The 15,100-nt window shown below is 45.2% G+C and overlaps 1 protein-coding gene across 2 annotated transcripts in view, besides 4 other annotated features; it reads left to right on the top strand.

Moving 5' to 3' along the window:
- The window catches only part of GFOD1 (Gfo/Idh/MocA-like oxidoreductase domain containing 1), a 129,771-nt gene that overhangs the window by 18,453 nt on the left and 96,218 nt on the right, over positions 1-15,100 (top strand). The gene's annotated exons all lie outside the window — the stretch shown is intronic.
- Positions 2,013-3,212: an enhancer, noted in NCBI's record as "P300/CBP strongly-dependent group 1 enhancer chr6:13466168-13467367 (GRCh37/hg19 assembly coordinates)". NCBI's record gives its function as "activates an origin of replication core promoter dependent on BRD2, BRD4, P300/CBP, MED14 and CDK7 cofactors, with strong dependence on P300/CBP, by STARR-seq in HCT116 cells {active_cell/tissue: HCT116}" and the evidence as "EXISTENCE:reporter gene assay evidence [ECO:0000049][PMID:35650434]".
- Positions 5,405-6,056: an enhancer, noted in NCBI's record as "OCT4-NANOG-H3K4me1 hESC enhancer chr6:13463324-13463975 (GRCh37/hg19 assembly coordinates)". NCBI's record gives its function as "activates a minimal SCP1, AML or CMV promoter by ChIP-STARR-seq in naive and primed H9 embryonic stem cells {active_cell/tissue: H9 hESC(naive and primed)}" and the evidence as "EXISTENCE:reporter gene assay evidence [ECO:0000049][PMID:30033119]".
- Positions 6,057-6,709: an enhancer, noted in NCBI's record as "OCT4-NANOG-H3K4me1 hESC enhancer chr6:13462671-13463323 (GRCh37/hg19 assembly coordinates)". NCBI's record gives its function as "activates a minimal SCP1, AML or CMV promoter by ChIP-STARR-seq in primed H9 embryonic stem cells {active_cell/tissue: H9 hESC(primed)}" and the evidence as "EXISTENCE:reporter gene assay evidence [ECO:0000049][PMID:30033119]".
- Positions 6,785-7,457: an enhancer, noted in NCBI's record as "H3K27ac-H3K4me1 hESC enhancer chr6:13461923-13462595 (GRCh37/hg19 assembly coordinates)". NCBI's record gives its function as "activates a minimal SCP1, AML or CMV promoter by ChIP-STARR-seq in primed H9 embryonic stem cells {active_cell/tissue: H9 hESC(primed)}" and the evidence as "EXISTENCE:reporter gene assay evidence [ECO:0000049][PMID:30033119]".

The raw sequence follows: 15,100 nt of genomic DNA, 5'->3' as shown, positions 1-15,100 counted from the left end.
TAATAGGAGACACAGGCCAACTCCCTCTCCTACATAACTGAGTTCTGGGAAGTCCCCAAGAGCAGGCCCATGTGTGTTTATTATTGTCACAATGCCCTGTGGCCAGCACTTGCAGAGAAGAAGCAAGGTCTGTTGAATTCCACGAATGACCTGGATTCAGACAGCAGTAGCAAGGGCTCCATAGGGGAGGAAAGAGCTGATCCTGCTGCTGGCTTTTGCACACCATAGGCTTGATCTGCCTGGCTCCCATATGCTTAAACACATTTGGTTCCATAATGGGCTTTGATTAAGTCATTTTCCCAAGCAGCTGATGTGAAAAGCAGAGAACTGGAAGGGGGATTGGTCAGGGGGGCCTTGATATCTCAGATGGGAGGCTGTGGGGAATAGTGGAAAGAGAACACTGCTGGTAATCAGAACACCCAGGACAGGCTGGAAGCTCCCTCTCTCCTAACACCCAGGGGAAACCAAGTCTCAGAGGAACTGAGTGGCTTATCCAGGTTGTCACAGCTGATCACTGACAGCTAAGTCAGGACCAAACCGAGGTCTCTGCAGAGTTGTGCCTATTACCTTATGAGGTTGTTTAATCACTGGGGAACTGTGCTTTTCCAACAATGAAGAAAACGAGGCGGTTGACTTCTTGGAAGTTTCTGAAGGAAATAACCTAAAATAACAACAATGAAAACACCTACATGCACAATAGTGTTCAGTGAAGCCTTATTTGTGATTACTGAAACACTGGAAACAACATAAATGTTCCACAGTAGGAGAACAGTTAGGTAAATATGATAAATATAATTGATAAAATACTAAATAGCCATTAGAATTATGTGTAGGAAGACTAGCAATATAGGAAATTTTCTTATGATAATTTCCTATATTTTAGGTAAAGAAAAAGGACACAGAAGCATTTGTATATTATGATGATAGCCTTGTTTAAAATCACACACACGCACACACACCTAGAAAATTAAAGTCTAGTAAGGAGCCCAAATCCTAATGATGCTTGTTATCAAATAATGGGATTATAAATTTTTTTCTTCTCTAAATTTCTTGTTTTAAAAAAATATCATAATGAAAAAATATATTTTTCAAAAGAAAGAGACAATAAGATGGGAAAAAATGGTTTGGTTGGGGTGACTCTCCAGTTCTTATATTCTGTGATCCTTTGGCTCTGGACTGGCTGTTCCCAGCTGCAGGTACTTGTTTTTCACAGGGCAAAAATGAGTTTAGCCTTGGCCAAAGGAAAAAGGCAGTCTTCTAGGAAGTGGAAGTGGTTGAATAAAGGTCTAGGGACTCTCCCGTTGTTTAGGAGAGTAATTGGGCATGACTCTGAATTTGGGGAGAAACCATAGACTCTTGGCTGCAGGGTAATTTATTTGTATTTCTAACCTTGTGTGCCCAAAACCCAAACAGGTCAGAAACAGCTGGAACAGTCCTATCATTTTTCTCTGCCTCCTGCATTTGCCCCAGGGTGGGAAGTGAAGCTCTTGTTGGCTTCATTCAGCCTTCCAAAGAAAATGCGCCATTCAGCCTTCCAAAGAAAATGTACAATTGCAACATTTCCATTTTTTATTTCCCCTTTTCTTTGCAGGCAGGTTTCTTTTCAGTCAAACCTGTGTTGGTATAAATGGTTAGCAGTTTTAGAACCCTGGGCCTGAGAAAATTCATCACCATCTGCTTGAATCTCTTTATGGGCTGTGTGTGTGGTGGTGTGCAGCCAAAAGGGTGTTGGCCAGAGAGCTGGACAGGCGGTTCTTGTCCTGACACCATACTAATTAGCGGTGTGACCTTGGGCAAGTGACTTCACCCTGCTAGACTTTCATTTCGTTACCTATATAACACAGGCACCAGAGTCAATTTTTAAGAGTTCCTTTTAGCTCCCACCTTTTATGTTTATTCTAATAACTCACTTTAAAAGCTTGGTATTGACTTAGCCAAATTATTTAATTTGGTAAATATTTTTATGTGCTGTTTTATTATGACTGCTGTCATATGGTTGGTTCACTTGGCTTCTGCTATTGCTTCTTTTTTTTTTTTGAAATCAGTTACACAAATATACACAGCTGTCCTTTATACCAGAAAGCATTCTTTCTTTTATCTGTAAGGGAGGAGATGTATTCCAGGGCAAAGTAGCATGGCTCATTGTTGGTTAGTGGGACGGCTGCTTGCCAGTAGTGTGTGTGTATGTATACGTGTGTGTATGTGTGCATATGTGTATGTGTGTGCCCATGGGTGTGTGTGCACATCTGCCCAATGTGTCATGCCTTGTTTTTTTCCCCTCTTTAATGGCACTGCTGAGAACACATCTGCATGAATAACTGCTAATACCAACTGTCAAGCTAGCAAAGCAGTGGGGTTGGGTATAATTTTCTAGCATAAATTTATCAGCACAGTGGGCGTTTGGGGTTAGCTCCTTCTGCAGATGCCTCGTGAAGCAGGTTGTGGTCCACTGCACCAAGGAAAGATGTAGTTTTGCCAAAGAAGAAGTACTGTGCCATCAGCAGCAGATCAAGGGGATATTATCCATCCCAAGCAACTGCAGGTCAGAAATTGTATCATGGACAGTTCACAGGAGGCCACAGGGAGGGAGGTGATTGAGAATGTCACCCTGTCACACTTGAGTCACTGGCGGGTACAGCCACTTTTTATGTGGGTGCCTGCCACTGACAGGCTCCCTCGGCATGTAGTTACCCTTCTTCAAAGGTAGAGGATGTGACATTAGTAATCTGTGTGGGTGGAAAGCCTGTTGTTACTGGTCATAACCCTGATGGAAGAATTAGTGGACCTCACCAGGCCAGTATAAATGTAAAACCCAGAGAGGGTCTTGAAAGGAAAAGAAATCTGTTTACTTTACTTCTCTCATCTTTTCTGTCTATTATCTTCTAACTCAGATCAAAACTCCATGCCATATGGCAATAAAGAGAAGGCACTATACCATCATCTTGTACCTTCCAAAGAAGTGACATAACCAAAGCATCCCAGGATTAGCAGAGAATGAAGGAGCCAGTGGAGACTTGCCTGTATCCACATGGGACATTTTTGGGTCCTCCGAGATCAGAGGTGGCACCCATCTGCCCTAGCAGTAACTTTACTCTTGATGTAAATTTGTCAAATTTGGTGTTTGACAGTCATTTTAAATGAGAAGTGTTCCTAAGATCCAACCTAGGCTGAGTCATTTCTTTTATTTCTAGAGAATCCTGCTGGTTCCTCCCTACAGAGGAGATATTTGGTATGATGACAGTTTCCTGTGTCAGCTGGGTGTTGGATGACCCAGGTTTCATTATAAATGTGCTGATAGTGCACATGGATCTTTTTCCTCTTTCCTTAAAACATTTTTAGGGAGACAGGAAACCTTGGTAGGTTTCTCATTCCTGATACTAACTCACTTTATGACCTTAACAGGGGTCCCTCAGCTTCACTGGGCTCAATTCTCCTTCTAAGACAAGGGGTTTGTTACGGTGGTTCTCAGGCTTGACTATGAGTTAGGAACACCTGGGAAGGTGTCAAACATCCTGAAGCCCAGGCCGCACCCCAGACCGGTTACATCAGCGTCTCTGAGGGTAGGAACTAGGTATACATGTTTTTTAAAGCTCCTCAATGTTAAGAAGCACTTGTTTACAGCAGTGCTGCTTAAATTTTAATGTGCGTGTGAATCACCTAGGCATCTGTTAAAATGCAGATTCTGATTCTGTAGGTCTGGGGTGGAGCCTGAGATTCTGCATGTCTAGCAAGCTTCCAGGGCATGCTGATGCTGCTGGTTCATGGACCAAGCTTTGAGCAACAAGATTTAGAATCTAAGCTTTAGATCAAGCTTGTCCAACCCCTGCCTGTGGGATGCATGTGGCCCAGGATAGCTCTGAATGCAGCCCAACACACATTCATAAACTTTCTTAAAACATTATGAAAATTTTTTGCATTTTTTTTTAGCTCATCAGCTATTGTTGTATTTTGTATGTGGCCCAAGACAATTCTTCCAATGTGGCCCAGGGAAGCCAAAAGATTGGACACCCCTGCTTTAGATGATCAATTAATGATAGTACAAAGCTTAGTAATTGTTTGCAAAAATGTGGCACAAGAAATATACTATGAGAATGAGCACAGAAGAAGAAGCAATTATATTTGGCAGAGGAAATCAGGTGTGGCTGCACAGAGGAGGTAGCATTTCAGAGAGCCTTGAATGACGAGGAAGGTAGTAGTCAAGGAAACTTCTGTTTCTTCAGAGAAACAGAACCAAAAGGATACACACACACACACACACACACACACACACACACACACACACACACGGAAAGAGGAAGAGAGGGTGCAGGGAAGCCCTGCAGGGTAGACCTGGCCAGTGGGCTAGAGACCTAAAGAAAAGTTAATGTTGCAGTTCAAGTCCAAAGCAATCTGCTGGCGGAATTCCTCCTCTTCAGAAGAAATCGGTTTGTTTCTTGTAAAGCCTTCAACTGATTGGATGAGGCCCAGCACATTATACAGGGTGTCTGCTTTACTTAGTATCTACTGATATAAATGTTAATCTCATTTAAAAAATACTTTCACAGGAGCATCCGGAAAAGTGTGTCACCCAATATCTGGCTGTTGTGGCTTAGCCAAGTTGATATATTGAAATTAACCATCACAATGAGGGAAAGAGTATTTCAGTTTCTTCTGACCTCTAAGAACTATAGAACTATAGCTGGACAGGGAGGAGCTTGTGGTCCTAGGGAGCAAGAATGATTTCTGGACACTGTTGACATTCTAACAAGTCTTCGTTCTGTGGTAAGGATAGAAGGGCAGGACTTCACAACCCGTAGCATGGATGCTGGCTCAGCTGTGGTCTCCCTGCCCACTGCCTTCTGCCCTTACTTGTGCTGGGGGCACTGGAACCCAGATGAACGTCTGGAGCCTTCCACTTGCCTGGCTGTGTGTCCAGAGGAAATGGGTTTACAGGGAAGAGTGCATGGAAAATCAGGTCTGCAGGAAAACCCATGTGTGGCACTGTGGAGCAGACACTTTGCCTCACTCTCTCGTGATCTGAGTCATTTGGGAAAGGGGAAAATGAGTGGGGGTAAATCACCCAAACATCTGCAGGCCAGCAGAGTAACTTTTTCTGACCCTGACTTACAGGGAGAACAAATTTTATATTATGATCCGGTATATACGTATATATGGTTTGTTTTTTGTTGTATGTTGTTTGTAAAGCCAGTGATTAAGTTTGAGGTTTGGCAGGTAGGATTTGTTTAAATTCCAGCAGATGGAACTAGAAAAGACCCATGATTTCACTGACCTCAAGACCCTGCTGGATAGATATATATTTATCTTTGTATTTATGTACTGGATCATAATTAGTGTATATAGTGTACCTATATAGCATATATATACTGTATCAGTGTTAAAAAATTTACAGATAACCTACGTATGTATGTATGAATATAAATAAAAATAAACATAAGGTTTATGACATGATGCTTACCCTTGTTTCATTGGCACGTGAAATGCTATCGTATTTTCTTTCTTTCATTTCATTAACAAGAAGAGGAAAAGCTGGCTGTGACCCACTGAACTGATTTCACCATGCTTAATGGACGGATAACTGTGGGTTAAAGAAAAGACCCACACCCCGGTGACGTGGAAAGAGCTTGTGATCTGGAGCAGTCCTGTCCATAGACGTTTCCAAGACCATGAAAATATTCTGTTTTGCGCTGTCCAACATGGTAGCCACTGGCCCCGTATGGCTACTGAGCATATGAACTGAGGCCAGTGTGAATGAGGAGCTGGATTTTAAATTGTCTTTCATTTTAATTAATTTGTGGCTCCTGTGATGGACAGCACAGATCTGGGTTGCTGCCCTGTGCCTGCCCCTAACTCGCTAATTGGCAGTGAGACCCCTTTTTCCAAGTGCAGCATCTGTAAACTGGGAGGCCAGACTCAGTCATCTCCCCAGGGGCTGCCAGCCCCACCCTTCTGCATTCCGGTGGTCTGGAAAGCCAGGCTTTGGGCTTTCAGCTGGGCATGGAGTTAATTAAGTACCCTGGGCGGTGTCACAGATAATGTGCTTTGCATTTTTAAATGCTCTTTAAGAAGCTGGGTCCTTCTTCCCTTTCAGTTGCTTAATTGCTCACCTGTATTTCTTGACAGTTTGAAAAGAGAGCTGCTCTCTGCCTCGTGAAATCTTAGCAGCCCATCTTCGCTGACTTGCTGAGCTCTGGGATGGCATTTGCAACCTGAACAGGAGATGCTTCACTTTTATCTCGCTGTTGCTTTCTTCTCAAGGATAAGAACTCTCTCAGCCGAGAGGCAGAATGTTACGAACGGAGATGACAGTGGCAGTTTGGTGCATAGGTTAACCATCGGGTTGGGTTTAGTTTGTTTTTGTTGTGTGTTGTTTGTAAAGCCAGTAATTCTGTTGGAGGTTTGGCGGATAGGATTTGTTTAAATTCCAGCAGCTGGAACTAGAAAAGACCTATGATTTCACTGACCTCAGGACCCTGCTGGGAACATTAAGGGGCCCAGGAAATGATGGGGGAGGGGTGATTTCCTCCTCACTGTCAGCAAGAAGAAAAGTAATGATAGTCAACCTTGACAGAGGAGGTGGGTTTGGCAGACTGTATCACTTGGCTTATTTGACTTCTCAGAAAGCACTTCCTTCTCCCAGGTGCTCACAGTTGACCGGACTGAAGATGAATTGGGTGTGAGGCTCACACAGCCCATTGATTTGTGCTGAGCCCAGAAGTGATCTGAGACGTTCTGACAATTCCTTGTGGCTCTGATGGGTGGGGTACAAATAGGGGCAGAAATCCTAGGAAGAACCCTAATTTATGACATTCACAAATTGGGAACAAAAATATCCATTCCCTGATTAGAATGAAGCGGTCCAAGGTTGCGAGGTCCTTGTTTGCTTCTTATTCTCTCTGTATAGAGATAATGAGGGGCATTTTAAAAAATAGTGCAATACTTTTGAAGACACACTATATCAGATCCTTCCTCACCCGCGACATAAATGCAAACCCCATGGTATTTGCCATGTGCCAAGCATCTCACTTAATTCTTACCACTACAGTCTGAGGAAGTGACTCTTCACTTGCACATGGAGAAACCGAGAGGTTAAGGACCTTGCCCAGCGTTACACAACTAGGAGCTGGTGGTGTCAGAGCTTGACTCCCAGCATTTGTGCTGTTGCGCTACTCTGCTGCCTCTCAACTTGAGGCCTGACCAGCTGGAGGTGGCCTGCTCTGCCCCAGGGCATTGGTGACTCATTGCACCATGCTTGGTACACAGGGTGCAAGTGGCGTTCTTGGTGCCCATCACTCTGAGAGGTGGGAACCCTGGTCCTCCACAATCCAGCTCTCTTGGTAGAGGCTGAGCCTGGCTCGTGTGTTTTCTGGAAAGAGCTGAGCCTGGGGTGAGGTGGGATGATGGAGAAAGAGCCTCCTTTCTCTCTGAAGTCAGAGGCAAGGAGTTCATGTGAGGGAGAGAGTGAACCCTGGTACACACCAGCTTAAGGGAAAAACACCAGCACACCACTCACAGATGCAGCTGACAGCAGACAGCCACAGAGGTGACCGGGCAATGTGGGGGCAGAGTGGTGCCACCCTGCTGCGGAGGGTGGAAGGTATGAGCTGACAGTGGATGTAAAAACAAGCGGGGGCCGGCAGCTTGGGCTCAGCCAACTGAGGCCATGGTGATGGTGACAAGTCTGCACTGGAGGAATCCCAGCTGTGGTAGTTGACTTGGGAGCCCCAGCATGTTTCAGATGGCATTGGAGCAAGGGTCTGTGTGGGGCTGGGCCTGTAAAGGCTGGATGCCTCCCTTCCCCTTCAAACTCAGTGTCCCTCCTTCTCCCTAGCAGCTCTGGCTCAATGACACTACAAAGAGGGCCGAGGGCTGCTCCTGATCAAGAGAGCAGCACACTTACTGAGGACCCACCATGCACAAGATACCCCACCAAGGGCTGTGAAGGAGACTGCAAACATGGTGAGGTGGATTCTGGGCTTCTAGGGAGTCAGTGTGGAAGGTTAAAAGTAGACAGTACACACACTCATAACCCATGCCAATAGACAAAGATACATCTTAGACAGTCTTGTGCTGCTGTAACAGAAGAGCACAGGCCAGATAATTGATAGCAAACAGAAATGTATTTTTCACAGTTCTGGAAGACTGGAGTCCAGGACCAAGGTGCCAGCATCTGGTGTCTGCTGAGGGCCTTCTTGAGGTGTCCTCACCTGGCAGAATAGGGCAAAAATTGGCAAACTCTGTGTCCTCACATGGTGGAAGGGCAGAAGAGAGTAGACTTACTCCTGCAAACCCTTTTTAAAAAAATGTTATTTTATTTTAAGTTCTGGAATACGTATGCAGGACATGCAGATTTGTTACATAGGTGAATGTGTGCCATGGTGGTTTGCTGTACCTATCAACCCGTCACCTAGGTATTAATATGCATTAGATATTTATCTTGCATGCATTAGATATTTATCCTGATACACTCCCTCTCCCCACACCCCCAACAGGCCCCGGTGTGTGTTGTTCCCCTCCCTGTGTCCATGTGTTCTCATTATTCAGCTCCCACTTATAAGTTAGAACATGTAGTGTTTGCTTTTCTGTTCACAGGAACAGAAGTTTGCTGAGAATGATGGCTTCCAGCTCCATCCATGTTTCTGCAAAGGACATGATCTTGATCCTTTTTATGGCTGCATAGTATTCCATGGTGTATATGTACCACATTTTCTTTATCCAGTCTATCATTGATGGGGATTTGGGTTGATTCCGTGTCTTTGCTATTGTGAATAGTGTTGCAGTAAACATATGCATGCATGTATCTTTATAACAATGATTTATATTCCTTTGAGTATATACCTAGTAATGGGATTGCTGGGCCAAATGGTATTTCTGGCTCTAGATTCTTGAGGAATCACCACAGTGTCTTCCACAATGGTTGAGCTAATTTACATTCCCATCAACAGTGTAAAAGTGTTCCTATTTCTCCACAGCCTTGCCGGCATCTGTTATTTCTTGACTTTTTATTTTTATTTTTTGAGATGAAGTCTCACATTGTCTCCCAAGCTGGAGTGCAGTGGCGCGATCTCGGCTCACTGTAACCTCCGCCTCCTGAGTTCAAGTGATTCTCCTGCCTCAGCCTCCCCAGTAGCTGGGATTACAGGCACACAACACCATGCCCAGTTAATTTTTATATTTTTAGTAGAGATGGGGTTTCACCATGTTGGCCAGGCTGATCTTGAACTCCTGACTTCAGGTGATCTGCCCACCTCAGCCTCCCAAAGTGCTGGGATTACAGGTGTGAGCCACCATGCCTGTAATGAGCCTCTTGACTTTTTAATAATCACCATTCTGACTGGCATGAGATGGTATCTCATTGTGGTTTTGATTTGCATTTCTCTAACGATCAGTGATGTTGAGCTTTTTTTCATATGTTTGTTGGCTGCATAAATGTCCTCTTTTGAGAAGTGTCTGTTTATGTCCTTTGCCTACTTTTTGATGGGGTTGTTTTTTTCTTATAAATTTAAGTTCCTTGTAGGTCCTGGATATTAAACCTTTGTCAGATGGGTAGATTGCAAAAATTTTTTCCCATTCTGTAGGTTGTCTGTTTGCTCTGATGATAGTTTCTTTTGCTGTGTAGAAGCTCTTTAGTTTAATTAGATCCCATTTGTCAATTTTTGCTTTTGTTGCAATTGCTTTTGGCAGTTTCATCATAAAATCTTTGCCCATGCCTATATCCTTAATGGTATTGCTTAGATTTTCTTCTAGGGTTTTTATGGTTTTGGATTTTATATTTAAGTCTTTAATCCATCTTGAGTTAATTTTTGTATAAGGTGTAAGGAAGGGGTCCAGTTTCAGTTTTCTGCATATGGCTAGCCAGTTTTCCCAGCACCATTTATAAAATAGGGAATCCTTTCCCCATTGCTTGTTTTTGTCAGGTTTGTCGAAGATTAGATGGTTGGAAATGTGTGGTCTTATTTCTGAGATCTCTATTCTGTTCCATTGGTCTATGTGTCTATTTTGATGCCAGTACCACTGCAAGCTCTTTTGATAGCAGCATTAACCCACTCATCAGAGCAGAGCCCTTGTGGCCCTGGCACCTACCGTTAGACCTCACCTCCCAACACTTTTGCATTGGGGATTAAGTTTCCAATTCATATATTTTGGAGGGCACACAAACATTCAAACCACAGCAAGATAGGACAAAATCTCTGGATCCTTTCTGCATGTGCCTTTCTTCTTGCTGTCCACCTGCCTTTGATAAACAAACACAGGCATTATCTATCAGTTACCATTCTGGCTGTTCTTTAGGCTTCTCTTCTCACTATTCCATCATCACTTCTTACAAGAAATCATGCCCCAAATGCTCTTCAGCCCCCTCTCACTTTTTTTTTTTTTTTTTTTTTTTTTTTTTGCTCAAGGGGAAATGGAGTCTTTTTGCTGGCTGCCTTAGTGACAATACCACCTGCACAAAGCACTTTCATATCAGCATATTTTTGTCCCTCTAAGGTCCCAACAACCCTATAATGCAGGTATTAGTACCATTTTGTAGAAGAGGAAAATGGGGCTTAGAGAGTTTAGGTCACTTGTTGAAGGTCACACAGATAGTACAGGAAGGGCTCTGGGACTGAAATCAAGGTCAGTGTGCCTCCTCCACCATGCGAGATCACCTGATGAGTTCAGTGGAGAGCATTATTGATTACATCTTCATTTCAAAGGGGTTTGGAAATAGTATATAAAATATTGTATAATACAGGCTGGACGTGGGGGCTTGTGCTTTTAATCCCAGCACTTTGGGAGGCCAAGCGGGGGCGGATCACAAGGTCAGGAGTTCAAGACAAGCCTGGCCAACATGGTGAAACCGTGTCTCTACTAAAAATACAAAAATTAGCTGGGCATGGTGGCAGGTGCCTTTAATCCCAGCTACTCGGGAGGCTGGGGCAGGAGAATCACTTGAACCGAGGAGGCAGAGGTTGCAGTTAGCTGAGATTGCACCACTGCACTCCAGCCTGGGCAACAGAGCTAGACTCCATCTCAAACAACAACAACAACAACAACAACAACAAAAATTGTATAATTCAAAGAGGGTTTAAAATTATGGATGAGGAAAACAGGGCAAAGGGACTAGGAAACAGTACTTTTGCATTTTAATTGTCATTAGTTCAAACATGAGCTTTTGGATGAGGTGAGACTTCTGGGTTGATGAGAAGGAATGAAATAATCCTTTTGAGCCACTGCCTCCAGGCAGAGGTCCAGGCATCGCCCTGGGACCTGTGCTGTTGGCTGGATAGAAAATGCTTCTTGATTTCAGCTGCAGGCTGCCGCTGGAACGGGTCAAGCGAATGATGAAGAGCACACTGAGCCAAGCCAGTGGAAGCCCCCAAGTTCATTTTTCTTGTAAGAACAGGCCGGCAGCCACTTTCAAAGAACATGTGTCATAGAGTCTAGTTTAGAACTGCGTTAAGGATGACTTGCTTACTCTGAATCACATCCAACTGCAGAGCTTTGTTATAGATGGTTGTTGGCACTTAGAGGGAAATACCCGGTCTCTATCAATAATCAGTCATGCTCTGGCACAAGAGAAGCAGCACTGAGTGGGGCATTATCCGACCACGTTCTAGTCGCAGCTCCATCATCCCTGGGTGTGTGACATGTCGGGATCAGTGTCTCTCAAAGTGTATCTGAGGACCACTTCAGGAGGACCCTGGGTTGGGGGTAAGAGGGAGACTCTGGGTCCTGCCCCGGAATATTGGGTGCTCCTGGTGCTGTGTGAGCCAAGTTTCTTGATTGGCTCTCTGCTTATGGCAGGCTGATTTCTCATCATCCCCAAATGTTTATTGAGTGCCTGTTATCTAGAGGGCACAGTTTGGGATATTGTAGAACTTTCTAGACACCATCCCTCCATTTTAGACTCTGGAAAATTTCAGAAAGTCCAGGTCACCTCTCAAATTCCTGGCAGGTGCCCATTTGCTTCTGGCAAGGTCTGACTCAGGATCCACAGGTGGGATTGTTTTCTGGGAAGGTTAAGCTCCTTTTGCAGTCTGTTTTCACTTTCCGTGTTGGGCAGATGTGGACCTGCTCTGCTAGCTGTGGGCTGTGGGCAGCATTGCCCATTTGCTTCCTGTTTATGAGAGAAAAGCCCCATCTTTGATTTTCCCAGGTGGGCCACTGAAATCACCTGAATGCTCTGAAACTGTCCCTGACTTCTTTGCTCAGGTGCCCCCGAGTTGTGAAGTGGCTTAGCTCAAAGCCTCCTGCAGGGCACCACAGTCTGTAGGAGGTCTCTTGTTCTTATATGAAAAGCTCACGTGAACTTTCTGTTCTACTCAGTAATGTCCCTGTGATTGTCTGAATAGGAAGGTTTTCATTCCCAGGAGGCTCAGACCTCCTGGCTCCCAAGACAGATCTGTGCGGGGCCAAGACGAGCAGCGTGCAGGCCGCCCACTCTATATGGTGCAGCCCTAGGAGGCTGTATGTCAGGACCTATCATCTGTTCAGGTTTAATCACCTGCAGTAAGAGAGCAGTCTAATCTGTCTATATATTTATTTAGATTCTTGCTTTAGTCTAGAAAGGATTAGAGGTGACCGTGATGAGTAGTTCAAAAATTAACCTGAATTTAATGGGCAAAAGAAAGTGGAATAAGCTTGCACCTGTAGTCATGACAATATTCATGAGAAATTTTTAAAAGCTAAAGGAGGCCAAGTGTGGTGGCTCACACCTGTAATCCCAGCACTTTGGGAAGTCGAGGCGGGTGGATCACTTGAACTCAGGAGTTTGAGACCAGCCTGGGCAACATGGCAAAACCCCGTCTCTGCAAAAAATACAAAAGTCAGCCGGGCGTGGTGGTGGATGCCTGTAGTCCCAGCTACTCAGGAGGCTGAGATGGGAAGATCACTTGAGCCCAGGAGGTGGACACTGCAGTAAGCCAAGATCATGCCATTGCACTCCAGCCTGGCATGAGAGAGGGTGACAGAGCCAGACCCTGTCTCAAAAAATAAAAGATAAAAACTTTAAAAAGCTAAAGGAGTCTCTTAGAAGCCTCATTTCCCTTCAACCCTCTGAGATCTTGCTTCAAGGTAGGGCTGTTGCACTTTAAAACCCACCTCTGAGACCCATGTCCTTCTTGGGATGATGGAACTTAGCCAAATGAGGAGAGAGCCCCCAGCCTGTCAGGCCTGCTGTAGCAAAATCATGCCCCGCAATCTTGTCTGAATAAACAGCAGTCAAGACAGAGGTATGCCTCTAGTAAACTCCCATCCTGTCTATTGGACAATGCTGTACCAAGAGGGCTGACGAGGCCAGTGTTAAACTGTGACCGACTGGGAGTTGAGGATGCTCCGGGTAATGAGTCCCCCTCCCTGTTAGCAGAGTTCCAGTAGGTGGGTGTTCCAGTGCCTAAGTGCAGGCAAGTCATGGGGCAAGGTGACCTTCTGTGCCTGTCATGATCTAATAGAGCTCTTTGTGTGGGTGTCTGTGCTTAATTTGGCTGAAACATTTATTTCTCTTCTGAATGGGCTTCCTTGTTTCACACAGAAAGTTGGCCCATGTGGGGTGCTGCTGACAGGCAGTAGCAGGGCGTCTGGTGGGCTACCGTTTTGGCTTAATGTTTACTCCTTTGCCTGCAGTTTTAGGCATCCCTCTGTCAAACTGTCAACCCTTGGTGAATATCATAGGATTTTCTCTTTAGAATAACCTGTGTTCGCATCCCAGGTGTTTTTATAATTCAATTCAAACCAATGACAAGGTGGCTTTCCCATTCGTGGTAGCCACCCGGCTGGGGACCATTCCCCACAGTTTCTGTGAGTCCAGAGTTGGCTTCACTCTCAGGAAACAAAATCCCTGATGGGCATCTGGAATTACCAAGGTGATTTAGTGATAGGGACTTCTAAAAGAGCTAACCCCAAGCACAAAACTCAGTTCGGGTTGGGTCAGAAACCTGACCCACCCCGCACCTCTCTGGGTGTATTGCTCACTGCCAGGCTTTGGGGCTGTTTCAGGAGGCTATGTTCTTACAGGGACAAGAGCCAGTGTGTGTGCGTGTGTGGGTGTGTGTGTTTGTGTGTAGAGCCCTGGTGTGTCAGGCACACGTGCAGAGAGATTTAGATCAGCAGACCTCAGATGACGAAACCCTAAACTCTAGCGGAAGCAACTGCATCAGATGGTGGAAAATCTCATCCAAATGCCTTTACAGTGTCTTTCAGGTTTTTGATATCAAGACAACCAGAAATTTGCTGTGAGTGACAGCCAGGAGGTGATGCTAATATCCTGGGGTCTGAAGATTCCTCCCCTCCCTCTACGAAACTCTTGCTCTGGTGTCCATTTGTGGGGCCACCTCTCTCCCCCTCTTGCAGCCCACAGAAGGACTGGGAAGCATTGACAGTGGTCCCCAGCTGCCACCTGCTGTCTGTGACTCATGCACTGTCTGTGGGAGGGTGGAGAATATCATCAGTGGGTTGCGGGGCAGAGAGTGGGAAGTGTCTGCTTTGTGGCTGATGTGTGAGTGTGGGAACATGTGTGCTCCTGGACGGGAGTGGTGGCATTGCTCATTCTGAGGAGCTGGCGGGTAGCATGGAAATGTGTCTTCACTTGGTTTTTTGGGTTTCTAGTTTCCTTTTTTCTTTTTTTAAGACATAGCTACTGAAAGGCCAGGAAGTAGGACTTGGGGGCATGCCAGTGAGTTGGAAGCCGCATTAATGTCCTGTATCTTTAGCTCTTCAGTCCAACAAAGGTGCAATTATTATGTTATGCACATGCCTTCTGCAGGATTATGTATTGGCATTGCTGATTCTAGCTAATGTCTTTTAGCAGTTTGATGGGCTTATATTAGTTTCCGGGAGTTGCCGTAACAAAGTACCATCAGCTGGGTGGCTTAAACAACAGAAATTAATTTTTTTCAGTTCTGGAGGCTGGAAGCTGGAGGTATCAAGGTGTGGGCAGGGCTGGTTCCTTCTGAGGGCTGTGAGGGAGTCTGTTCCAGCCCTGTCCTGGCTTCTGCTGGCCTGCCGGCAGTCTCTGATGCTCCTTGGCCTGAGGATGCATCACCTCGTCTCTGCTTTCATGTTCAGTGGGGTTCTGCCTGTGTGCATGCCTGTGTCTGAATTTTTCCTTTATATAGGTGGCACC

Source organism: Homo sapiens, chromosome 6, assembly GCF_000001405.40.
Source record: "Homo sapiens chromosome 6, GRCh38.p14 Primary Assembly".
NCBI classification, from domain to species: Eukaryota; Metazoa; Chordata; class Mammalia; order Primates; family Hominidae; genus Homo; species Homo sapiens.
The sequence above is the reverse complement of the archived record's forward strand: the minus strand, read 5'-3'. Positions and strand labels throughout refer to the sequence as shown.